The sequence below is a fragment of the Homo sapiens genome, chromosome 10 (assembly GCF_000001405.40).
Source record: "Homo sapiens chromosome 10, GRCh38.p14 Primary Assembly".
NCBI classification, from domain to species: domain Eukaryota; kingdom Metazoa; phylum Chordata; class Mammalia; order Primates; family Hominidae; genus Homo; species Homo sapiens.
Window position 1 is genome coordinate 22958901 of NC_000010.11, and position 26829 is coordinate 22985729.

Here is a 26829-nt window from a genome sequence, read left to right on the forward strand (position 1 = left end):
TTAGTAGGGTAGGGGTTTCACCATGTTGGCTAGGCTGGTCTCGAACTCCTGACCTCAAGTGATTCACCCGCCTCAGCCTTTCAAAGTGCTGGGATTACAGGCATGAGCCACCACACCCGGCCTATTATTATTATTAATAAACATCAATACTCTGTTTCTTCCTTTGTAGATGATGTTAAAAAATTGTTAAGGGAGTTAGATGTCATGAATTCTGTCATTGCCCAGCTCGCTCCAGAAGGTAACTTTGCATTCTATATCTGTTTTAAAAAATGGAACTGGTTTTTTACACTTGATTAAACTATATATTGAAAATCATTCATGAAATATTGTAAAGTGTTATTAAAATCTCTCAAACCACAGCTCAATTTTGAGTTTATAAAAGAGGTGAGCTTTAAGCAAGATACAATTTGTGGAGCTTTGGTTTCCAAAGCATATTTTAAAGTAGTGGCTGAATAATAAGCAGTTGGCATACTTGTGTTATTTATTTTTGATACACAGAAGAAGTAGTTATCCATGAGTTTGCTAGTCTTTGTCTAGCAAACATGTCTGCAGAGTACACCAGTAAAGTGCAAATATTTGAACATGGGGGATTAGAGCCACTCATCAGACTACTGAGTAGCCCTGACCCGGATGTAAAGAAGAACTCTATGGAATGCATTTACAACTTGGTGCAGGTAAGATTAATTTCTAAAAAGCGTTCTGATGAAAGCTCATTTTAGAATTTATTTTCCCATTAAAAATAGAAAAAAGCTTTTAAAAATGCACCAGTTTTGCATCATCAGATCTTCTTGTTACTGGTATTTATCATTCAGAGAAAAAAATAATGGAAGCTTAATGTAGATAATCTTTCAATTTTCACATTTTGTAAGTCATTGTCTCCTGTGAAAAAGTATTTTGGAAATGTATTTGTTTTTAAAGAATAGAATGGCATTCAAATAAAATGTACTTCTTTTGAAACAGGAAATCTAATATGTGGAAACTGCGCAGCTACTATTGACTGAACCCTGGTGGTCTAAGCACATTGGATGTAATATATACCCTATTCAATGTACTGAGATTTTGGTTTAGGCTTATTTGTTGCTAAAAATCTAGTGATTTTTCATTTTTGAGTATGCAGGACAGAATTCATTGTCCACAATAGCAAGATGCTACCTCACTGTGCTGTTTTCCTTTGTCACGGAAAGAAACTGCCAACCTTCCCCTCCCCTGCAGTCCTGTCCTTTGCACCCCAACCCCCAGAATACACACACATACACACACACACACACCCTCACGCCCACAGCAGGTCAGCTTCCTGACACTTTGAACAGCCTTCTCTGCTGCTTAGATTCCTTAACAATTAGCATGCACATTTGATGAGCTTTAGATCACCTGAAATTGGAAAGACACAAATTTTAAATGGCCATTAATAGAGTAGGGAATGAGGAGATACCAAAACGAGAGTGAAGAAGAGGATTAATGCAGAGGCAATGTATTCAGGCAAAGAGGGACAAATAGGCTCATGTCAAAATGCAGCAAAAGCAAAATTCCTGGCCCAGTATGCCATTGCTACTCGACAGGACTGGTTTCACCCTCACCCCTCCCTCCCTAAAAAAGAGACCCTGAGAAAGAAGCTCAGCCCCTCTTTTCCCTTCTCCGGTCACTTTGGCTTTACCTCATTTGATTAAATATTCCTGTGTGTTTGTGTTTTAAATCCCAAGACTCCTTAGAGCAGTATTTCTCTATTGTCTTAAGAAGAAATCAAAATGATTACCTCACAATTCTTAACAGCAGTACTGGCTAAAAACTGTGTATTAGTTTCCTAGGGCTGTTGTAACAAAGTACTACAAACTAGGTGGCTTAAAACTACAGACAGTCACAGTTCTGGAGGCCAGAAGTCCAAAATCAAGGTGTCAGTAGGACCGCGTCCCCACTGAGACCAGATAGGACCCTTCCTCTCCTCTTCCCAGCTTCATGTAGTGGCCATCCATTGGTGGCATCCCTTGGCTTGTGGCTGCATCCCAGCAAGCTCTCCCTCTGTTGTCTCTCTCTCCTAAGGACACTAATTGCACAAGGACACCACTAAGGGCCCACCTTACTCCAGGATGACCTCATCTTAACTAACTGCATCTGCAATGACCCTGTTTTCAGTAAGGTCACATTATGAGGTACTGGGGTTAGGACTTCAGCATATATTTTGGGGGAACACAATTCAACCCATGACAAAAAGCAATCTACAATTGTGTCTAAAGGAAGCTGAATATTAGCAATCAATTGAAGGATGGACAGGGGAAAGCTAAGCTATAATTGGAGCCTTTTCCACCTTTAGTACTATTTTATATTTACCATGTTTTGATCAAAGGTGTCATGTCTTAAAAGAGTTTGGGAGCTTTTCATGGCTTCTTGGCTTGTTTTCTTAAACTCCCCCAACCACCCACTTCTTCACTCACACAGAATCATAGACATAGAGGCACAACAATTGTCTAGATTACAATGACCCCTTGATTGTGTAAATGTCTTAAATAAAGGTCACGTATCTGAATAAACCCGCTGTAAATTTGCATGCAGAGGGCCTGTCAACAGTACTGCATGCTAATAGGTATTTCATAAACAATCCATTTGAATGAGAGAATAAGGAATCAATGCCATTTCATTGCATTAATTACTATTTGAAGCAGTATATCCAAGTGTGAGAAGAATTTCATTATGCATAGATTTTATTATACTGCTGTTTAATCAGGATTTGCTGTATAATAAACAATAGATAAAAGTCATAGATCATGTATATTTTCTGTTGTAGACAATGTCTACATATTACAGTTAAAATAAATTTTGATGTTGTCAATTGAAAGATTTCTTATTTTTTGAGTTATTTTGGAAGGGAATCTGGAATAAAAGATGGGCAAATTATAACTTATGTTCTTGTGTTAGAAAACAGAATTTCTCCATTCTTGAGGATGTATTTTGCTTAAAAAAATTATTGATCATCTGTATTTTGTGGCAGGATTTTCAGTGTCGAGCTAAACTTCAAGAACTAAATGCAATACCTCCTATCTTAGATCTCTTGAAGTCAGAATATCCAGTGATTCAGTTGTTGGCTCTCAAAACCTTAGGTGTTATTGCAAATGATAAGGAGTCTCGAACAATGCTAAGAGACAATCAAGGATTGGACCATCTTATTAAGATCCTAGAAACTAAGGTATTTAGTTTCATTCATTCCACCCTCTATGAGGAAATGTATCTCTCCCAAATGTTTAAAAATGAAATTTTATTATACTTAACGTGTATTAAGTGTAATAGATTAATTTGCTTATTGCTACATAAAGTTTATTGGCCTGCTTAAATCAGGCTAATTGTAGACACTATTATAAACTAATTTTAAAAATCTTCTAGTTTAGCAGACTTAAGGTTTTTAAATTCTTGTCTATGATCTTCCTCTTGATTTCCTGAAACACCTAGGGTGAGTCTTTTAACCTTCATTATGGTTTTCTCTGGGATAAAGCAGAAGCGTAATTTACCTTCTAGATACCTTTTAATAATATTGGAGCTAAATGTCCATAGTTGCTAATAAGCTCCTTAAGAATCAAACTTTAAGAATGTCTGTGCCTTCTGGGATCTCCTGGTTAGAAAAACTCATCTAGCAGTTTATTGAAAACCGTTTAATTGACTTGAGTGGTTCAGATCTCTTCTGAATGTGTCCTGTGTCTTTCGCCACTAATTCCTTAGTGAAACAGTAATAAACAGATTTCAGATCCAGTATCCCTACTTTAATATTTAGTAAATTCAATTAATTCTAATAACAGAAATCTACTTGAAGTACCTCTTAGAAATTCCAGAGATAGGAACATATTGAAGGAGAAAAACGGAGTGGTAACTTTGTATTCTGTTTCAAACTATCCAATTGTTAAATTTTTTTCTAAAAAAACCAGAACTCAGTTTGATGATACAACACTGGGAAAATGAAGTACAATATAAAAGAGCAGTGATGGCACAAGCATGTTCCCAGCCATGTGGACCTACCCGCCTTTGATTTGTGGATCCCATATGTGATCCCCTATAATTACACTTGTGATGCAAAATCCTAGTAACACTATATAGTACACATTTTATCCTGTTTTTTAAAAGGGGAACTGAAACCAGAAATGTTACTTAATTTGCCTTATGTCACACAGGTAGAAAGTGACTAACCACAGGGTTTATCTGATATGCCATAGTATTCTCACCTATCTGATATTTTACCTGTCTTCTTTTAATTAGGAAAGGGGATGGAAGCACCTACTAGGTGGCAGGCATTGTGATTTTATTAAATTTGTAATTCATTGAGGAATGTGATGGTATTTTTATCTATAAAATGAAAGTATTGATAATAATTCTATCATTACATATATAATCATATATACCTATTATAGTGTTAATCCTATTATACAAATAAGAAAAATGCCTCTCAAAGAGGTTGAATAACTTGCCTACGGTTAGAGCTAGGAAATATGTGAGAAGGGTTTTTTAAGAACTGGTATGTATATATGTATATATTCTAGTGGGAAAAATTCAAAGAACACAAAAATATAGAGAGTGAAACATCAAAATTCTTCTCCACATCCTCACCTAAGAGTAGGTAGAAGGCACAGGTGTCTGCTCCCATAATTTTTATTCAGCATTGTCCTGGAAGTTGGAACCGGGGCAATAAGCCCAAATAAATAAATAAATGACACAAAAGACTAACAAACTGGGGCCAGGCACGGTGGCTCACACCTGTAATCCCAGCACTTTGGGAGGCTGAGGTGGGTGGATCACAAGGTCAGGAGATCGAGACCGTCTTGCCCAACATGGTGAAACCCCGTCTCTACTAAAAATACAAAAATTAGCTGGGCATGGTGGCACGTGCCTGTAATCCCAGCTACTAGGGAGGCTGAGGCAGAAGAATCACTTGAACCCGTGAGTCGGAGGTTGCAGTGAGCTGAGATCGCACCACTGCACTCCAGCCTGGCAACAGGGCGAGACTCTGTCTCACACACACACACACACACACACACACACACACACAAAAAAAAAAAAAAAAAAAAAAAAAAAAGACTAACAAACTGGAAAGGAAGCCGTAAAACTGTATTTATTCAGATTGCATGACCATTTATACAGAAAATCTTAAGAAGACTACAGAAACTTACTAGAACTAATAAATAGATCTATCGAGGTCAAAGGATGAAAGTTCAATACATAAAAATTTATCATATTTCTATATGTGAGCAATGAACAAAACAGCAAAAGTACAATTGAACTTATAATACCTTCCTAAAATATGAACTACATGGGGATAAATTTACCAAACTTTTTGCAAAATCTATACACTGAAAAATATAAAACACTTTTTAAAAGGAACTAAAGAGATAATATATGTATATGGACTGAACACATATTAATATGTCAGTTTCCACTTAATTACCTTTTGATTAGTTTTCAATTATCATATGATTATTGATTTGGTTATAGTTAAGCTTCCCATTTATATTTGTCTGATCTGTTTTATTCCACAGTTCCTCTCTTCCTGCCTTTTGTAGTGTTAATTTTTTTTTTTTTTTTTGAGATGGAGCCTTGCTCTGTCACCCAGGCTGGAGAGCAGTGGCACGATCTCTGCTCACTGCAATTTCTGCCTCCTGGGTTCAAGTGATTTTCCTACTCAGCCTCCCAACTAGCTGGGATTACAGGCACGTGCCACCACATCCAGCTAATTTTTGTATTTTTGGTTGGGGGGAGGGGTTTCACCATGTTGGCCAGGCTAGTCTCGAACTCCTGACCTCAGGTGATCCTCCTGCCTTGGCTTCCCAAAGTGCTGGGACTACAGGCATGAGCCACTGCACCCGGCCCCCCGTAGTGTTTTTTTTTTTTCTTTAGTGTTACATTTTAATTCGTCTCTTGGCTTTTTTGCCGTATTTCTTTGTTCTATTTTTAGTGGTTGCTGTAGTGATTACAATACGCAACTTAACTTTAACTTATAATAGTCTAGAGTTAATATTGAACTACTTCAAGTAAAATACTAGAACCTTTTAACAATGTATCTCTACTTTTCCTACTCTTAATATTGTTACATATTTTATATCTGTGTCCATTACAAACCCAACAATACAATGTAATAATTTTTTGTTTTGAAGAGTCCTATATCATGTGTTAAGATATTAAGAATTATATGTTCATATGTGTTTGTGTAGTACCTATCCATATATTCATCTATCAATATTTAGTATTTTATATTTACTCACATATGTATGATTTCTGATGCTTTTCATTTTTTCCTGTAGATCCATGTTGTCATCAGGGTCATTTCCCTTCAACCTGAAGAACCTCATTTAGCATTTCTTACAGTGTAAATATAATGGCATAAATTCTGTCTTTTAAATTTATCTGGAAGTTGCTTCCTTTTGCCTTTAATTTTGAAAAGACATTTTTGCTTGATACAAAATTCTTGGCTGCTAGTTTTGTTTTCAGCATTTTTAAATTTCTTCTGAATGCCAGTATTTCTGATGAAAATTCAGCCATTGAGCTGAACTATTTTCCTGTACGTGATGTGTCACTTTTCTTTGGCTGCTTTCAACACTTTGCTCTTTATCTTTGGCTTTCTGCATTTCTCTTCTGCATGGAAGTGATATAATTATATATCCTGCTTGGGGTGCTTGACCTTCTTAGATCTGTAAATTAGTGTTTTCTGCCAATCATGGAATTTTTCAGTCATTATTTATGCAAATATTTTTTTCCATTCCTTCTCTCCCTCCGGAACCCAATTACATATATGTTATCTTGCTTGATATTTTACAGGACTCTAAGGCTCTGCTCATTTTTCTTCAATTTTTTAGATTAAATAACGTCTTTTGATCTCTGTTCAATTTATGCAATTTTGGCATCTCTAATCTGCCGTTTGGTCCACCTAGTAAATTTTTCTTTCTAGTTTTTGTACTTTTCAAGTCTTAAATTTCCATGTTTGAAGTTTCATTTCTCTATTGAGCTTTCCTCTGTGAACATATTTATCATAGCTGCTTTAGAGTCTCTAATTACTTAATTCACCAACACCTGTCCCTAACAGAGTAGATTTCTATTGACTGACTTTTTTCTGACTTTGAATCACACTTTCCTGTTTCTTCTTTGCATGGTTAAGAATGAGCATTGTAGATAATACTTTCTAGTGATTCCAGATTCTGTTGTGTCCTTCTGAGGATTGTGGCTATTTTGCTGTACTAGGCAGTGAGCTACACACTTTGTCTCTCTAGTGGTGCAGCTGGTATCTCTGCTCAGTTCTTACAGTTTCTGGTTGCTGCTGTTTTTAGCCTGACTCCATGGAGTTCTCCCCAGAGCTTCTGCAGTTTGCTGGTCACCTGTGGCTCCTCTGTCAGTCTCAGGCTCTGACCTCTGACACCTCAGACCAGTAAGGCTTCAGCATTCTGCCAAATGAGCTGCACATGGATTGAGGAATGCACTGTATTTAAAAGCAGTAAATTAATCAATCTCACCTAGCACAGCTCCCTCTTCAAGGAGAAGATATGCTTTCTAGTCCTTGCCTGTTTATTTTCACCAGGGTCCCTGGGGTCTTCTCCACGCATGTATAGTTTAGTAGTCAGCCAGAGGTCTGGGCATAGTTTATACTCAGATTTTGGGTTATACCCTATATTAGAGTTCTCTAGAGAAATAGAACCAACAGGATGCATGTATATTGTACATGTGCATGTGTATATGGGTGTATTAGTCCATTTTTACACTGCTATAAAGAACTGCCCGAGACTGGGTCATTTATAAAGAAAAGAGGTTTAAATGACTCACAGATCCTAGTGGATGAGGAGGCCTCAGGAAACTTACAATCATAGCAGAAGGGGAAACAGGTTCATCTTACATGGCAGCAGATGACCATGTGAAGGAGGAACTGTCAAACACTTATAAAACCATCAGATCTCATAAGAACTCACTCACTGTCATGAGAACAGCACGGGGGAACTGCCCCCATGATCCAATCACCTCCCATCAGGTCCCTCCCTTGACACGTGGGGATTATGTTACTTAATTTGCCTAGAGATCACAATTTGAGATATTTGGGTTAGGACACAGAGCCAAACCATATCAATGGGTGTGTGTTTGGGGGCGGGGGTGGGTAGTGGCTTTAAGGAATTGGCTCATGTGATTTTGGAGGCTTGGCAAGTCCAAAATCCACAGGTTAGACCAGTAGGCTGAAGACCCAGAGAAGTGTTGTAATTCGAGTCCAGGGGTGCTGTACTGGCAGGATTCCCTCTGTGGCCAGGTAGATCAGCCTTGTTCTATTAAGGCCTTCAACTCATTAGATGAGGTCCACCCATATCATGGAGGGTAATCTGCTTTACTCAAAGTCTGTTTTAAACATTAATCTCATATAAAAAGTACTTTCACAGGAACATCTAGAATAATATTTGGCCAAATATCTGGGTACTGTGGCCCAGATAAAAATTCATCACAGGTTTTCTCCTTGTCAATTTGGTACCCATATACCTCTTAAATCATAATCTTCAGACAATAATGAGATCATACTTTTAGCTAACGTGATACAACTATCCTATAAACAACCAAATATTTCCCAATGCTTACCCCAGAAGAGGATGCAAAATCCTTGGGTGATGTTTACCCTTCCTGGACCCACAAATCCTGGCTATGGGAGAAACGGCACCATATGGTAGACACTGATTCAGAGCATATACAGCATTCTGGACAACCTTGCCAAAGCCCTGCAAGGTATTGCCACCTAGTTGGTGCTGTAACTGAGTCTTCAAAAGGCCATTCTATCAAGCCAGCTGCTTCAGGATGGTGGGAAACATGGTAAAACCAGTGAATTCCATGAACATTGGCCACAATGTATTTGCTGTGAAAGTGAGTTCCTTCCCTTCATGATGGTGGATTATCCTTTCTGAGCATTTCTCACTTTTGGGATTTCCCGTTTACATTTCTAGCTATTTAGGTAAAACCGCAGTTTTCCATGCCTGTGGGGATTCAGTAGATTTCCTCAGGCAAGACGGCCACACACTCGCAATACTTCTGTTATAGTCACAAATTATTTTAAAGTATATATTTTCATCAGCTTCTGTCTTGCTTTTTCAAAAAATGTTTTCTCCAGATTTCAAAATTGTTTTTTGCAGAAGACTGTATGAGCAACTTCATTGACTACCATTTCTGGAAGTTTCCTCCCTAGCATTACTTTTTATCCATAAAACATTTTGGAGTAAGGGAAAGGAGAAAAGACAGGGCACATGGCCAAGAAGAGTGATGTTACTTTGATAAGCAGAACTCCTATTCCCTGGGGCCTCTGTCACAACAAAAATCATGACATTGTGTTCTGACTGACTTTATTTCCTCTTGTAGTCAAATTTGGGAAGTGTACATTTTAGTACAACTTTCTAAAGTTGTATTTGCTTTTATTATTAGGAATTGAATGACCTTCATATAGAAGCACTTGCAGTGATAGCCAATTGCCTTGAAGACATGGATACTATGGTGCAGATTCAGCAGACAGGGGGTCTTAAAAAGCTCCTGTCATTTGCAGAAAACTCTACAATTCCTGATATTCAGAAGAATGCAGCAAAAGCCATTACTAAAGCAGCTTATGATCGTATGTCTCATTTTATTTTATTTATTTTGAGATAGGATCTTGCTCTGTTTCTCAGGCTGGAGTGCTGTGGCGTGATCACAGCTCACTGCAGCCTCAACCTCCCCAGGTTACAAGTGATTCTCCCACCTCAGCCTTCCTAGTAGCTGGGACTACAGGCATGCACCACCATGCCTGGCTAATTTTTGTATTTTTTGTAGAGACAGGGTTTTGCTGTGTTGCCCAGGCTAGTCTAGAACTCCTGGGCTCAAGCGATCTGCCCACTTTGACTGAGTTACAGGCATGAGCCACTGCACCCTGCCATGTCTTATTTTATATAAACAAAACATATATAATTCCTCTTGTCTCAATTTTGATTAGTACTAATCAACACTAGAGCATTTGTCTGCTTTTAAAAAACCATTTGAGAATAGTGCTATATTTACTACTTAAGTCCAAACTCATCTCACTTCCAATGAGTTAGAGATTTGTCAGGGATATGAAGAACTCAATATGATTTCATTATCCTATTTTTCAAAATACAATTCATTTCTACATTAAGTTTTAAGCCTTTGTTTCACTTGAATTTGGAATTATATAGAAGGTATGCATTGTTTGTGAACCTGAGAGCATTGAAGAAATCCACATTCACAATGATATCTATAAAGTAATTTTCAAGTTTCAGCTGGAGTCTAGTAGCACCATGTTACATAGCTGTGAAAAATATGCTCATACTATATACATAATACAATTTGCATTTCAGTGACAAGTTATGTTGATATAAATCTGTAAAATATGAGAGATTAATTACAGCACAAGCACAGATGAAATTATAGTTTTAATTTATGTATATTTGGAGTCTTTTATCTAATAAAAGATGTGATCTTATTTTTCCCCTTCTGCACCACTTTTAGAAATGATGACAGCATTGACTATTTTAAGTGATTTATATTCTAAACATATATACTCACATCTGTATATTGATATGTATACTATGGGAAACACTCCATTTTCAGCACACACTGGATTTCTTCAGGACAAAGCTTTAATGCAGTAAGCAAGATTTCACCATCCAGTATGTAGTGTGCATAGAGGGGCCTCATGAGTTACATTATAAATGCCTATTTGAGAGACTGGTTGTGAAATCAAGGTTTCTTCATATTGGCAAAAGTTGGTTTACCCAGTATTCTATCAAATGGAACTTAGACATTATTCTAGCTGGTCAGTTCTCTCTTCCTTCTATCCTAGTTCTTCTTAGCTAAGTGAGACCCGAAGAGAAGTAAAATGGGGAGACACGGACAATGCCAAACCTGAAATGTTTGCGTATCTCAGCATCTCTTTGGAGAGTATTTATATGTATCAAATGTGGCTGGGTCATTCTAAGACTGTTCTCACTCATTTTGAGGTGGTGAGTTTGATGATGCCTACCCATCATGTGCCACAGTACTGGAAAGTATGCTGCAGAGTTCCTGGTACTAGAGTTCTAGTACTAGTTCCACTACTGGCATTGTAACGACCTACTTAAGTGATTTTGAGTGAACTATAACTTCTCCAGAACAATGTATATATTCGTTTACTCATGATTTCTTACTGAGTTCTCACCCAGAACAGGAAAGTAAACAGGCACTTACAATGCAGTGTTCAAAGTGATTAATGATGGAAACACAGGATCACCCAGGAAGGCTCCCAGCACAGACCTGGATCAGAAAAATATTTCTGAAATCAGTGATTAACAAGCTAGGACCTAGAGTAAATAAGATAAATTGTCTGGTCAAAGAAGGTTCAGATGGGATGGAGGAGGAGAAGTGGTTCTGAGAAGGAACAGGGTGTATAAAAGCCAGAGGAGGGATAACATGGTAAGTTCCAGAACCGAAAGTTTTCAGAATGGCCAATGACCAGAAAGCCACAGAACACTGAGCGCTCAGGCTATGGACGTGGTGAGGAGCCCAGTGCTCATGGACATTATAAGCCCAGTTAAGGATTTTGGACTTTATTTTAATGGCAACAAAGAGCCATTGAAGTTACTCAGAAGGGAGGGAACATCATGGATTTTCACTTGTTAAAGAAAGAGAACTCGTGTTGCAAAGTGGAGAAGAGATTGGAAATGTTTAGGACCAGACACAGAAGACCAAAAGGGGGTTGCTGTAGTAATCTAGGTGAGATGTGAAGGTGCCCTGAAACAGAGATGCGGTGTTCAGGACTGGCTCAAGGCACTTTGCAAGGAGAACCACCAGCACATGTGTGAGTATTTTTGAATGACTATGTTGGTTGAAAGAGGAAGAAGGCGATACCAAGGATGAGGCCAGGTTTCTGGCTTAGACAGCTAGAAGTAAAATGGTGCCACTCACAGAACTGAAGAACTCAAGAAGGGGAGCGGTTTTGCTTGAAGAAAAGGAATCAATCCTATTCTTGCTTTTTAAATTGTGGTGAAATACAAATACTATGAAATTTACCGTCTTCATCATTTTTAAGTGTACATTTCAGTGGCATTAAATGTATTCACATTTTTGTGGTGCTGTCCATCCACAGAAATCTTTTCATTTAGCAAAACTAAAAGTATACCAATTAAACAATCATTCCCACTCCTTCCTCATACAAACTCCTGGCAACCACTATTCTTTGTCTCTATGAATTTGATGACTCTAGATCCCTCATATATATGGAATCATACAGCATTTGTCCTTTTGCAAATGCATAGCACTTGGCACGATGTCCTTAAGTTTCATTCATGTTGTAGCATGTGTCACAATTTCCTCCCTTCTTAGGGCCAAAGAATATCCATTGCCTGTATAGACCACATTTTGTTTATCCTTTCAACCATGGATGGACAGTTGGTTACATCTGCCTTTTGGTTAATGTGAATAATGTTGCTAAGAATGTGGGTATACAGATATCTCTTTGAGTCCCTGATTTCAATTATTTTGGATATATACCTAGAAGTGGAGTTACTGAATCATATGGTAATTATATTTTTAGTTTTTTTTTTTTTTTTTTTGAGACAGTCTCGCTCCATCACCCAGGCTGGAGTGCAGTGGTGTGATCTCAGCTCACTGCAACCTCCACCTCCTGGCTTCCAGCGATTCTCCTGCCTCAGCCTCCTGAGTAGCTGGGACTACAGGCACGCACCACCACACCCAGCTAATTTTTGTATTTGTAGTAGAGACATGATTTCACCATGTTAGCCAAGCTGGTCTTGAACTCCTGACCTCAGGCAATCTTCCCAACTCAGCCTCTCAAAGTGCTGGGATTACAGGTGTGAGCCACCATGCCCGTCCTCTATTTTTAATTTTTTTGAGAAACTGCCATATTGTTTTCTGTAGCAGCTGTACCATTTTACATTCCCATAACCAATGCACAAGAGTTCCAATTTCTCCACATCCTGGCCCACACTTGCTATTTTCTGTTTGTTGATAGTAGCCATCCTAATGGGCGTGAGGTGCTATCTCATTGTACTTTTTATTTGCATGCCCTAATGATTAGCAACTTCAAGCATCTTTATCGTGTACTTACTGGCCACTTGCATATCTTCTTTGGAGACATCTATTCAAGTCCTTCTCCCATTTTTTGATTGGGTTGTTTTCTTGATGCTAAGTTACAGAAGTTCTTTATATATTCTGGATATTAACCCCTTATCAGATATTATTTGAAAACAGTTTCTCCCATTCTGTGGTTTGCCTTTTTACTCTGTTGATTGTGTGCTTTGATGCAAAAAGTTTTAAATTGTGGTGCATTCCAATTTATCTATTTTGTTGGCTATGCTGTTTGCTGTTGGTGTCATATCCAATAACTCATTACCAAATATCAAAGCTTTTGCCCTATGTTTTCTTCTAGGAGTTTTGTAGCTGTAGCTCTTATATTTAGGTCTTGATCCATTTTGAGTTTATTTTTATATAGGGTATAAAATTATGGTCCCAGTTCGTTCTTTTTCATGTAGACATAAATTTTTCCTAGCATCATTTGTTGAAATTGGTTATTTGTAATAGAAAGGAATTCAAGCAGATAGTCTTTAAATCCTTTCTGGCACTTAATGTTTTCTGATTCTACTTCCTTTTGTTAGTTCTAAAATAACTACATTCCAGTTTCAAGTTGTGTCTCCTGTCTTTATGTTAGAATCTAATGACTAACTGTATTTACTTCATATATGTCATCTGTGATTGTATTATGTTCCCTTCAAACATCACTTTTTCAGACCGAAGAATTCAGATCTTGTTTAGTCTCTCTCCACGCATGTCCCCAGGCCATCCTGGGATCATTTTCTTACCTCTTCAGGACTTCCTCTTGTTTATTATACCCTCCTTGAAATGTGTTGATAAGTATTACGAAAGCTATTTTAAAAGTATGCACCATCATTTTATATTATCTATAGATAGGTTGATTTATCATTATTTTCCATTTCAGTCTTATGCAGCAAGTATTTTAGTCTCTTAACTACATTAGCATATTGGGCCAACCCTTTGAGGGAAGGACCTGCAGGGAGCCCCCAGATCATCTTTCTCAGTCAGTACCCAGAGCTCAAAGTTCCTCATTTTAATTTGTAACATTTTGGGGCTGGGCACAGTGGCTCACACCTGTAATCCTAGCACTTTGGGAGGTTGAGGTGGGAAGATCACTTGACACCAGGAGTTCAAGACCAGCCTGGTCAACAGAGCAAGACCCCCCATCTCTACATAAAATTTTTTTTAAATGAGCCATGCGTGATGTTGTGCACCTGTAGTCCCAGCTACTTGGGAGGCTGAGGAAGGAAGATCACTTGAGCCCAGGAGTTTGAGGCTGCAGTGAGATGTGATCATCCCAGTGCACTCCAGCCTGGGTAACTGAGCAAGACCCTTAATAATAATAATAATAATAATAATAATAATAATAATAATAAATCCTAACATCTTTGATTTATAGTTAAAAATGCAAACTTTGCTTTGGACTAGTATTGCATATTCTTTGAGGCCTGGTATAGGATCTATTTGTACAAGTGTTCTATTAAATCTTGGAAAGGCATACTCTGCTTACTATTTAAATAAACACTTATCATATGCAATTCATTTCTATATTAAGGATATTAAGATAAGGATAAACAATGGATGGAATGAATAAATATTTTCTGAATAGACAAAAAGATATATTTCCTGTAGAATGCAGAGTTTATCTTTTAGTTCAATTTTATAAATTATATTGTACAGTTTTATCCTTATTCTTTTTTTAGCTATATGATCTGTCACAGATGAAGAGTAGTATGTTAGAAGTTTCCCACTATATTATTTTTATTTTCTCTTGTAATTTTTTCTTTGTCTTTCTTTTTTTTTTTTTTTTTTTTTTTGAGACAGAATCTCGCTCTGTCACCCAGGCTGGAGTGCAGTGGCGCGATCTTGGCTCACTCCAAGCTCCACCTCCCAGATTCTCACCATTCTGCTGCCTCAGCCTCCCTAGTAGCTGGGTCTACAGGTGCCTGCCACCAGGCCCAGCTAATTTTTTGTATTTTTAGTAAAGACGGGGTTTCACCATGTTAGCCAGGATGGTCTTGATCTCCTGACCTCATGATCCACCCACCTCGGCCTCCCAGAGTGCTGGGATTACAGGCGTGAGCCACCGCGGTCGGCCTTTCTCTTGTAATTTTATATTAAATGACTTCACTTTATGTTTTTTATCCACTACTGATTTTTTTAAATCTCACTTTTATTGCTCTTTAGCTTTTGATTCTAATTTGATATTAAGATTACCATGTATTATCAAACATGGTCTTGGCAGAAAAAAAATTCTGGAGACTCCTGATGGTTTTAAAAGAGACAAATGAAGGAACTACTTTCAGAAGTATAATTAGGGTTAAGGGAATAAGCAAGAGATGATGAGGTCCCCAGAGATTAGCAATATTGGGAAATCTTCACTACCACTAGGTCCAAAAGGCAAGGCAAATAAATATTGTTAGATTTATTTTTATAGCTACTATATTCACCCTTATTTCTGACATCATGTTTTATGTTTTATGCTTTCTGTTTATTTTTCTATGCTGTTCATTTCTTTGTATAGATTTTAAAAACTTTTATAAACAGTTATTTTAAAGATAAAGTTACTATAGTTATTTTAGATATTTAGCAATTTTGCTTCCACAATTCTTTCCCTTTCTGATGTTTCTAAGATCAATAAGAGGTTATAGATTCCCCTCTCTAAAATCTGTTTTTTTTTGTTTGTTTGTTTGTTTGTTTTGAGACTGAGTCTCGCTCTGTTGCCCAGGCTGGAGTGCAGTGGAGTGATCTCAGGTCACTGCAACCTCCGGCTCCTGGGTCCAAGTGATTCTCTTGCCCCAGCCTCCCAAGTAGCTGGGATTATAGGTGCGTGCCATCATGCTCATCTAATTTTTTATTTTTAGTAGAGACAGGGTTTCACCATGTTGAACAGGCTGGTCTTGAATCCCTGACCTCAAGTGATCCACCTGCCTTGGCCTCCCGAAGTGCTGGGATTATAGGCATGAGCCCCACCCTGGCCAAGACTCTCTTTTTTAAGAATCACTGTCATTACATTCAATTTTAACCACATTTGTCATTTAGAGTTATATACATATTGAATCTGTTTCAGTGTGTGCTGTCAATTTCTCATAATAAAGCTTACCTGTCCTTAAGATTTTATTTGATTCATTTCTCAAATTAACCAGAGTATATTTTTCAGTTAAAATTTTTTTAAGGTATATCCAATAGTGATATGCTTTGAGACCTTACCTTACCTGTGCATAGGTTTGTTGCCTTCAAACATATATGACAATTTAACTGGGTTTGGAATTGTTGCATCATAACATTTCTCCTTAAATATCTATGGAAGTGATGACAGGCACGGTGGCTCACGCCTGTACTCCCAGCGGTTTGGGAGGCCGAGGCGGGTGGATCACCTGAGGTCAGGAGTTCAAGGCCAGCCTGGCCAACATGGTGAAACCGTGAAACCCCATCTCTACTAAAAATACAAAAAAATTAGCCAGGTGTAGTGATACATGCTTGTAATCCCAGCTACTCGGGAGGCTGAGGTAGGACAATCACTTGAACCTAGGAGGTGGAGGTTGCAGTGAGCCAAGATCGCACCATCGCACTCCAGCCTGGGCAACAACAGAGAAAGTCCATCTCAAAAAAACAAAAATGAAAAGCTTATCTATGAAGATTGCTTTTGTATTGTTCAAGCCTGATTTGCATTATTTTGCATATATGATTTTTTTGCTGTATTAAGGTAGAATTTTTTATCCTGAGTTTGAAAATTTTGCCGAAATATGTCTAAGTCCCCCTCTCCACTGTCTCCACTACACAGGCAAGCCTTTTGATCTCCAGAGTCATGATTTTTTCCCCTAATTCAGGAAGCTAGTTTTTTCCACTATACTTTGGATTCTTGTTTTTGTTTCACTTAATCTTTTTTCCTCATGAATACTTATTTTTAGACCATCTCTGTTCTCCTTTCTATGCAGTGTTTCATAATTTTGGTTTTTAATGCTCATCATGGAATGCAGAGGACTCTACCTGGGCCTAGTTTTAATGAATAGATGAAGCCTACAGGGTGCCCTTTGCCTGTTTTCCCATCAATTGAAAGGGCAGTGGACTCCTTTAGCCCAATTGTGGATGAGGAGGAGACTTTCCCATAATGCAGTATTGCAACGCCAGAGTTCGATTCTCCTGATCCCACTGGTTTATATAAGAGGAAGGTGATATAAGTTCAGAGCTTTCTAAGAGGCCCTTCATTGTCTGTGGCCTGGGTGACTTGTGGAAATTTGTTTCTTCCTCTCTTCCCCTTGCCCCAGGGTCCTCTTTTTCTCCTTTTCTTATCAACCTCTTTGACAGATCAGTCCATTTTAAATAGCCACATCTCCTCAGCTCATCTCCATCATTTCACCTGCTGCACCTGACTTCTGTTTCTGCCATTCTGCCAAAATAGTCCTTGTACAATTTGACGTTGACCTCTCAACTCCGAAATCCTGCAGAGGCATTTTCAGTCCTTTTTAACGTGACCTCTGGGTGGGAATCCACACTGCTGATTGCCCTCTCCTCCTGTAAACTCTTTTATTCCATCGTTTTCAAAACACCCCTCTCTCCTGATTGTTCTTCAAATTACCAGACCAGCCTTCACCTTTACCACTTTCCTCAGCTTATTTCAACCTAAACTTGCCTTCTGTTTTATGTCTTGTTCTCTTGAAAATCTCCCTGAGCACTCTTACTTATGACTAATGTTTCAGCTGCCTCCTTATTTGCTTATGAATCCCAAATCTGTTTCTAATTCTGACCTGTCTTCTGAATTCCTGCCTGTATTTCTGACAGCTTCCAAGCACATCCAACTATACTGCCCACACTCCACTTTGGGGAGTGTTAAGTTTCTTTGACAATCTGAACAAAGAGTAACCTTCTGAAAATGCACAAATACACTACATTCTGCATATAATTGCAGGGAGTTCACGGACTGCCTGAAGCCCACCTGTCTTCTGAATAACTCTTGAGCTAGAATAAGCAGGATCAAATCCAGATAGCCCCACTTGGCATCAGAGATTCTTCTATTTTACACAAGCACATGGCCATTGGTTATCAATTTGTTCTTCCTCAGAAACTCTCCCTTGTGGTCTGGATTGTATAACTTTGTTCGACCATAATTTTATACTCATTTGCTCTGGTTTGGGCCTTTTGTCTGGATTCTGGTTTGGGAAATGCTGTTTTGATCTATTGGTATCCATGTTCTTCAAATGGCTAGATTTAGAGGAAATCTCAAATTTTCTAATTCTGTTAATTTTCAAGGTGTCAATAAAATAACTGGTTTCTCTTTCTGTCCTTAAGAAATTAAAAAACCTGCTTCCTCGTGCTGTAACCTAGTATAGCCCACTCTGCTCTACATCTGCTACCAGTTTTCTCACACCAGACCTTCACCTGTTCCCACTATGGTAGATTAAAGCAACAACCTGTGCATGAACTAAAGTAACCCGGCCCTCATTGGAATACCAAGCAAGCACAGCACAAAAGTTAACTTCCATTGCTGAGCAGAACCTCCATTTCCCAGATCTACCTTAACATCATTCAACCAACTGCCCATCTGTATTAAAGTCGGGCTCCTTCACCATGGTCTTGCAGGTTTCCTCTATTACTGTGCAAACTTCCATTTTATAATTCAACTTATTCAACTGGTAATCTTCCTCCATCCCTTCTGACATAGCCTCCTTCCTTCTTAAATTGTTTTCATCTTTGGCAACTCTACAAAAACTGAAAAAGTATGCCAGGTAGGTCTTCAAATTCAGTGAATGCAGAGGTGGTTTAATTTTCTTATAGCCTAGGAGATATCTGGTCTGAAAGCTTGATTCTTGGAACCTCTAGAAAGATAGATGATTCCACGAAGATTCAAACTTTCTCTCTGTTCACATATCCCAATAAATTATTATGAATGAATGCTCTTCTCATTGGAAGTGCAGAGCTTTGAGAAAATCTCTCCATTCCAGAAGCAGGATTTCCCCTAAGGACTCTGATCTGCCTTAGCCATGACATTTTTGGGCAGTACTGCCCACTTCTGACCAGAACACAATATTAGGGCAGAACCAACATCTTTGAGGCCAGTGCTAGAAGATAGGTTAAATCTTTGTCATTGCCTAATTATTCTCCTCTATTTTGGTTATTTACCTCTTAACTCTTATTATCTGGCCAGATCTACCATATCCACCTCTTCCTCCTGCCTGGATTCTAGATTCTGCCTTCTTTTCAGGTCCTACCTGTATTTCTTGTTGTATTAGTCTGTTCTCAAACTGCTATGAAGAAATACTTGAGACTGGGTAATTTATAAAGGAAAAATGTTTAATTGACTCACAGTTCTGCCGGGCTGGGGAAGGCCTCAGGAAACTTATAATCATGGCAGTAAGCACCTCTTTGCAGGGTGGCAGGAGAGAGTGAATACCCAGCAAAGGGGAGAAGCCCCTGATAAAACCATAAGATCTCGTGAGAACTAACTCACTATCAGGAGAACAGGATCAGGGAAACTGGCCTTGTGATTCAATTATCACCACCTGTTCCCTCCCACAACATGTGGGAATTACGAGAACTGCAATTCAAGATGAGATTTGTTTGGGGACACAGCCAAACCATATCATTTGTCTACTTTGTATATAAACTCCTGCCTGCTTTGACCTCTATCTGCCAGACACAGCCAGCTTCATCAGACATGTCTTATTTTATATTAGTTACAGTGGCAAACTCTTAAAAACTTAACAATGAATAAGAAAGCTATATCCTAATATTCCTGTATTGAAAGCATATAATCATGAAGAAGTTTAAAAAATTTCCCACAGTTAGAAAACTCCATTTATAAGTAGATTTTGACAAATATTGCTCCTTATACTGTTATTATACAATGTAACTATCAATAGCAATTTATACACTTATTTTTACTTTCCATCATCATAAGAATATTTTTTTAGACAAGGTCATGCATTGTCATTGTATGTCAGAAACACAGTCGAAACGTCCAAACTCATAAACACACTTTCTTTAAGTGTTGTTTGTTGAGTAAACTTTTAACATGCATCTCAACTGTGGAAAGCCCAAATCAATATGCCTTTGACCTGGTACCAGTAGGAGGAAGGTGTTAATTACCATGTTGCCATGAGGTTTATGAACTGGCATTAACATCTCAGCAGGAGCAAAAGTGGCACAATAGCAACTTCTGAGAATGGATGAAGGAAAGCATCATTACATACAGATTTGTTTCCAGTAAGAAAACGTCATGCTTTTTATTTTAGGGGTACTGAACAAATGTTATTTTTAAAGGACATTATGCTATTAGTAGCATAACTATCTTGCCATCTTTATGATCTGTGTAATTAAAACACAAATACTCCTTGGTGTAGCAATTCAAGGAAAGTATTTGGTTAATATGTTAATTCATCTTTTAAATCTATTATAGCCATGCTGCAGTCAGCACTTTTAAGGTTTAGTGAACACAGCTGCATTTTGAGAACAGTCCCAGCAAGGTTGAGAAACTAATTGCCCTCAGTATCTATTTAAATTATTTTTAAAAATCTTTTCAAGAATTGTAAATGTACTGTTTTCTGAATGCAACATCTACATACTCCAAAGTTCGTTTTTTCAAATTAATCATTTTGGCCAATTTTCCTGATAGAATCCATGCTAAGAGGGTTCTGTTTAGAAAATTTGGTTTAGAGCCATCAGGGAAATCTTAATGAGAAATCTAAGCATTTTAGGTCAGAGACTCTGGAAAAGTTTTGGATATTACTTATTCAGTGAAAAATAATAAGAACCGTGTATATTTAAAACATTTTCGGAGCCACATACTTTAGAGTTAAGTATTAACTGAAGCTTTTTTATGAAAAAAAGTTATGGCCTGCCTGAATTCTAATGGTAAATGAAAGGAACAAGAGATTAAAATGATAGGATTACAGGACATGGTTCATGATTGGTTTAAAATGAATGAGCAGGAGCGTTAATAACTTAGCCTGTGCCAGTTGTGGCCAGATTATTTAATATATATCTGTGTATCAGGTGAACAAAGGCCAAAAGTATTTGCAAATATGGTGCCATCTAAACGTGATACTGCTTCTGCGAAAAAGGACGATTTTTTTTGAGTCATCGTTGAAGGAAGGGAGAAATCATAACTTTACAACGGAAACCTAGCTGATGTTAATTTCTGAAAATATTTCTGAAAAAAACAAGTTAATTAACATGTGTATAAGTAATGAATGAGTTCCACATGTAAATATTGTAACCTAAATTATTATCAGCATTTTTTTGCAAAAATTCTTATTCTAATAGAATATTCTTCTCTTATATATCTTGAGTGCATATCACACATTCTTCCATTTTAATCACAAAAATAGAATTTATAAAGGCTAATTTTATAAACTTTACAAAGGGTGTTAATAAATAATCTATGACAATTTTTTGAAGGAACCAAATTATTTAGTAAGGAATTATTTGTAGGTTGTTTCATTTTATACCAGTCCCTGGTACATCTTTATTTCATCAAAACAGTTTAATTTAATATATTTTTTCTAGAACATACTTTAATAAAGAGGAACTTCTTTAGAATTAGCTAGAACATAAAAAATAGAATTAATAGAACACAAAACAAAAAATTATTTTAATGTTCTCATTTAGCTTAATGCAGTATTTACGTTAGTATAGTAATGAGATTGTCATTTATAAAAAAATCAAATGAAGCCAAGAGAAAACAATGTTTAGGGAACAAAAGAACATTAAAAATACTTTGGTTTCAAAGTTAGTGTTTTAAATGGGATGAATATAATGGTATGTACTTAGACATAACTTTATTTAATTAAATAATTATTTTAATTTTTGCTACTTAAGTATGTATTGTCATTTGAGAAAAAAATGATTATATTTTGATATAAGACTATAAATTTCTTAAGACTCAGGATCATACTTTACAACTCATTTTTACTTTCTCCTCTCCTCTGCTCTTCTCCTGAAGGTCGTAAGCATCTAGCTCACCAGTTTGCACATCTTAGGCATTCTTCCAATATTGGGTTTTATATTTAAAAGAACCATCAGATAAACTGGATTTTGTCCTTAGTGAACAAATAGCCTGTGAACACTGAATACCAGGTCAGGTGCATGACAGGTGTTAAATCAGTGCTTGCTAAATCCAAAAACTTGCCTTTTTCCTAGTACAGACTTTCCTTGGCCGTAGTATTGATCTCATACAAGGGAATAGGAAAAAACATCCATGATTCATTTTGCATAATTACTGTATTCTAAAGTTAAATAGTTGTAGATTTTGTCTAGTTTAGACTCTGGTACTAAAACTACCAAATTGTTTGAATTCCTATTAGACTTTGGATGGGAAAGTAGTAATACTTCGCAGTTTTTGCATTAAAATTCTGAATTTTTTTCCCTTTGGTGTATGAAAGCTGAAAATAGAAAACTTTTTCATGAACAAGAGGTTGAAAAGTGCCTTGTAGCCCTTTTGGGTTCTGAAAATGATGGAACTAAAATTGCTGCTTCCCAAGCTATTTCAGCAATGTGTGAGAATTCAGGCAGCAAAGATTTTTTCAATAATCAGGGTAAGTCAACTGGAAACAATTCTTTTGAGCATTTTTAGGTTACCGTATTTTAGTGCACATGGGCATTTTAAAAGTCACATTTTTACCTTTCTCTTTCTGTAGGGATTCCACAGTTAATTCAGTTGCTAAAAAGTGACAATGAAGAGGTACGGGAAGCAGCAGCTCTAGCCCTGGCAAACCTAACCACTTGCAACCCTGCTAATGCAAAGTAAGTTCAGAGATCCTCACCCAGCACTGACTTGTGGGACAATTCACAGTCCAAGATGTTCTCCTGTTAGTATATTGACTTTCACGATAGTCTATGAATTTCTTCAGATGGTCTATCTTGGGGTTATTCTTCAGAATCCCTTATGAAACAGAATCATCAGATGGGTCTGTTTTCCAAAAATATTACAAAATCTTTACTGTTTCTGAGTTTGTTGGGAAAATGTGCAGGCCATTTGATTTCAGGGACCAAGAGGACTCTTGTAGAAGCTTCTGCAAATAAGACTGAATAATGCTGGAAATGTTAAAGACAAGATCGGATGAGCATTTGATAAATCTGGAAAAATGCTTAAAGATCCATCTTAAAAGGGTATAAACATTAGATAATATAGAAACATTTAAAAGGTCAGTGGCTCCCACCTGTAATCTCAGCACTTTGGGAGGCTAAGGTGGGTGGATCATTTGAGGTCAGGAGTTCGAGACTAGCCTTACCAACATGGTGAAGCCCCATCTATACTAAAAATACAAAAAAATAGCTGGGCGTGGTGGCATGCGCCTGTAATCCCAGCTAGTCAGGAGGCTGAGGCAGCTGAATCGCTTGAACCCCGGAGGTGGAGGTTGCAGTGAGCCGAGCTCGTGCCATTGCACTCCAGCCTGGGTGCAACAGAGCGAGGCTCCGCTTCAAACAAACAAACAAACAAACCAAAGCATATTATGGGCAAATACTGTGAAGAAAAGTTAAGGAATAGGAATGCCTTCTATATCCCAAGCACTCTGGTGTGTAATTTATACTCATTTTAAAAATTATCAAAATAATCTGCCAGCAGTTGAGGAAACTGAGACTTTTCAAGCTTACTTAATTTTCCCAGGTACACATTTTTATCGAAATAGCTGAGCTGGAAATCGATGCAGGTCTGTCAGACTCCAAAGTCTGTGTTCTTTCCTCTACAGGAGATTAAGACTGCCTTATAAGACAGTAAGAATTTATTGAAGGCAGCTTCCATAAATAAAATAATTATTTGCCCTGCCTCCATCTCATTTGGTATGTTAGTTAGCTTTCATTTATTATTGCTTTGTGATATCATGGCTAAAATTACCCTTTTTCTAACTTGAACTAAATCTCCCTCTGCCTCCATCACATACTTAATAGTTCTTAGCCTTTCTTTCCCTTTCTATTCTCCCACACAAATTATAAGATCCTAATGCAATGACTACAAATCTAACTGCCTGATAAAAACATAAGAGGAATGCATTAAGTGTCAAAACAAAACTGTGTTCCTTTAATAGCTACAATCTTTGACACAGTAATTTCCTAAATTAAGGGTCATCATTATCTCTATGAAAGCATGCAAATTTCTGGAATATTGAGTCCTTCTAAGTAGCAGTTTGAAAATAGCATATTCAGTGGTTTTTCCAGTATGGTCACATGGTGCAAAAAAAAATCTTATCAGAGACACTAAACCATTTCTCGCTCCAGTCCATTTACATTTGTATATGATCTAGAATACTTTTAACAGGCCTCCAGAGTGTATAGGTGTCTTGATTTGATGTGAATTTGCCTGGCCTACATTTTTTGCTTTATTTTACATAAAATCATAGAAAATTAGGATGGTAAGTAGTTCTAAAAGGGACTTCCTTCAGATTATCTTTCTCAGTTTAATTATCTATTTTACAGATTTTTGTCATCTGACTCCTAGTTCCATTTTGTTACCATAGAAAGGTCAGTCAGGACTAAATGATGCCCGACTTCTCTACTACAGTCAACTTTAGTTACATAATATAATTTTATTCTTGTAAGTTTTTAATTGCAGTTATTTCTTTAACCTATTATATACTGTCCATTCTGTTTTTTTTAAATTTTGTATTTTGTAAGGGAAATGGAACATGAATGAAAGTGGCTTTCTGAATATTCCTTGAGGTCTATATAATTTTTACTTGGGATTTTCTGAGCTAAAAAATATTGAAGATGAATGCTTTTGAGGAGGATATGGAATCAAATTTGACAGATTTATGCCAAATGCTGAAGACTGAGGTTGCAAAAGATTCTGGAGTCAATCAAAAGGAATGAACACGAATAAACCACATAGTCCTTCTAGAAGCCTCCTTGAGTTTAATTAGTAATGCCAAATATAACAGAAGTGACTACAAATGTGATTGGTTATTGTTAATAACATAATTTTCTACTCAGATCGTCTTTTAAAAATTGTTAGCTTAAACTCAGCATTGGTGAGTATTTCTGGCATCACTTTTAGTAGCGGTCCATTCAATCATTTCCCCAGGAAGCATCGTGGCTTTGCTGCTGGGGTGGTTGGAATCAAGGTTTTCTAATTATTTTTCTGTCATACATAAGTAGCATAGGAGACAAAAGCCCAGAGTTAACTTCCTCCAGGTGCATTTGATAGATGTTTGAATATCTGATCATTGCTATCCTAATTTTTAAAAATGCACATAAGTGTTGCAAATACTAATTTCGTGTAGTTAAAACGTAACCCTTCTCCTACACGCATATCTTAATGTGCCTAAAGTGAATTTTTAAACTCTAATTATTAAACTCAGGGCATCTTCTGGAATTGGAGGCTCATTTCATGCATTGAGTAATCGCTGGTGTTGTCATGGTAACATATAATGTTGGTGCAATTTCCTTTATGTAATAGGTTTTTGCTTGGAAAATTGTGGGTAGATCAAAATTTTCTAAATTAAATAATCAACACAGGGAAGGAGAAATGTACTTGTGGTAACGCTTTTTGTAAAACTAACAAATGCTTTTTTTAATTAAAATCTTTTTGTAATCTAAAAATAGAATTTTATAATCTTTATGTAAATTAATTTATAGTCTAATGTATCTGATTTCAGATTTTCACACATCTTGCTTTCTCATAACAAAAAAACACACTCAAATATAATAAAATAGTATGATGATGAGCAATTTTAGTAGCAATCATAAATAAATAATCAGACCATTCATAGCCCTATGTAGAAGATTTTCAACTTTATTGAAGTAATCTGATCATCACCTTAATTGATGCCAAAAGATCTTACCCATTTGGTATTCATGAATGAGGTTTCTTAGATACTCAAGTTTAGTGGATTTTTAAAAATTTACTTTTTTAATCCAAAAAAACTTTTAAAAATTTGCGATAAATTTGAATTAAAATCTTCTAAAATCTTTCCTTCTCAACCTTCTGTTTTTTTTTTAGACAGGGTGTCACTTTATTGCCCAGGCTGAAGTGCAATGGTACAATCGTAGCTCACTGCAGCCTAAACCTCCTGAGCTCAAGCGATCCTCCTGCCTCAGCCTTTCAGGTAGCTGAGATTACAGGCATGCACCATCCCACCCAGTTAATTTTTCATTTTTTTTTTTTTTTTTTTTTTTTTTTTAGAGATGGGGTCTTACCATGTTGCCCAGGCTGGTCTCTCAAACTCCTGAGCTCAAGCAATCCTCCTACCTTGGCCTCCCAAAGTGCTGGGATTACAGGTTTGAGCCTCTGCAGTGAGCTCCCTCTCAGCCTTTTGAACTGATTATGCTGTTATTAAACTTTGGTGGGGAAAGTTATGGTTGCCATTTTGACTAAATGACTGCCATGTGACCCTCGGAGGTGTTCTCAGTGCCCCTTGGGGAAGGGGGGCTACTTGTCCCACTCACTGGGTATAAATTCAGGGGGGCAGCTCCTTTGACCTTCGATGCATTTTGTTGATTCCTTATCAAGCTTCTGAGAGCTGTCAGTTTTTCATTTTCACTGCTATCAGTGGATCTGATTGGCAGAGCTCTAACTTCCTCCCTGTCAGAGTTCCTTTCAAATCCTTCCTTTCTGTCCATGAAAAGCTTGGATTCCAGGTAACCCAGCTTTATCAAATTGTACACAAAAGCCATACAGGAGGGCCTGATGCCTCTTTGGTATGTACATAATTTTTGCTTCTCAGAGGCCATTCCCTACCCCCACAGATAATTCTCGTGTATGTTGTGGTTATGTGAAATTTCCAGGTATTTGAGTTATGGATACGTGGATATGGATGGTAGTTAAAAATTATTAAC

General features: G+C 37.3%; 1 protein-coding gene across 10 annotated transcripts in view; it reads left to right on the forward strand.

The window, feature by feature from the left end:
• The window catches only part of ARMC3 (armadillo repeat containing 3), a 110471-nt gene that overhangs the window by 30848 nt on the left and 52794 nt on the right, over positions 1-26829 (forward strand). For 6 of the 10 annotated variants that reach the window (NM_173081.5, NM_001282745.2, XM_005252381.3 and 3 more), the window contains 6 exons: positions 170-238; positions 499-674; positions 2984-3178; positions 9406-9589; positions 22440-22592; positions 22695-22800. In NM_173081.5, coding sequence (NP_775104.2) covers positions 170-238; positions 499-674; positions 2984-3178; positions 9406-9589; positions 22440-22592; positions 22695-22800 — 883 coding nt within the window. The remainder of the gene's footprint in view (positions 1-169; positions 239-498; positions 675-2983; positions 3179-9405; positions 9590-22439; positions 22593-22694; positions 22801-26829) is intronic. The other 4 variants (XM_005252380.4, XM_017015831.3, XM_017015833.3 and 1 more) reach the window with 2 other exon arrangements.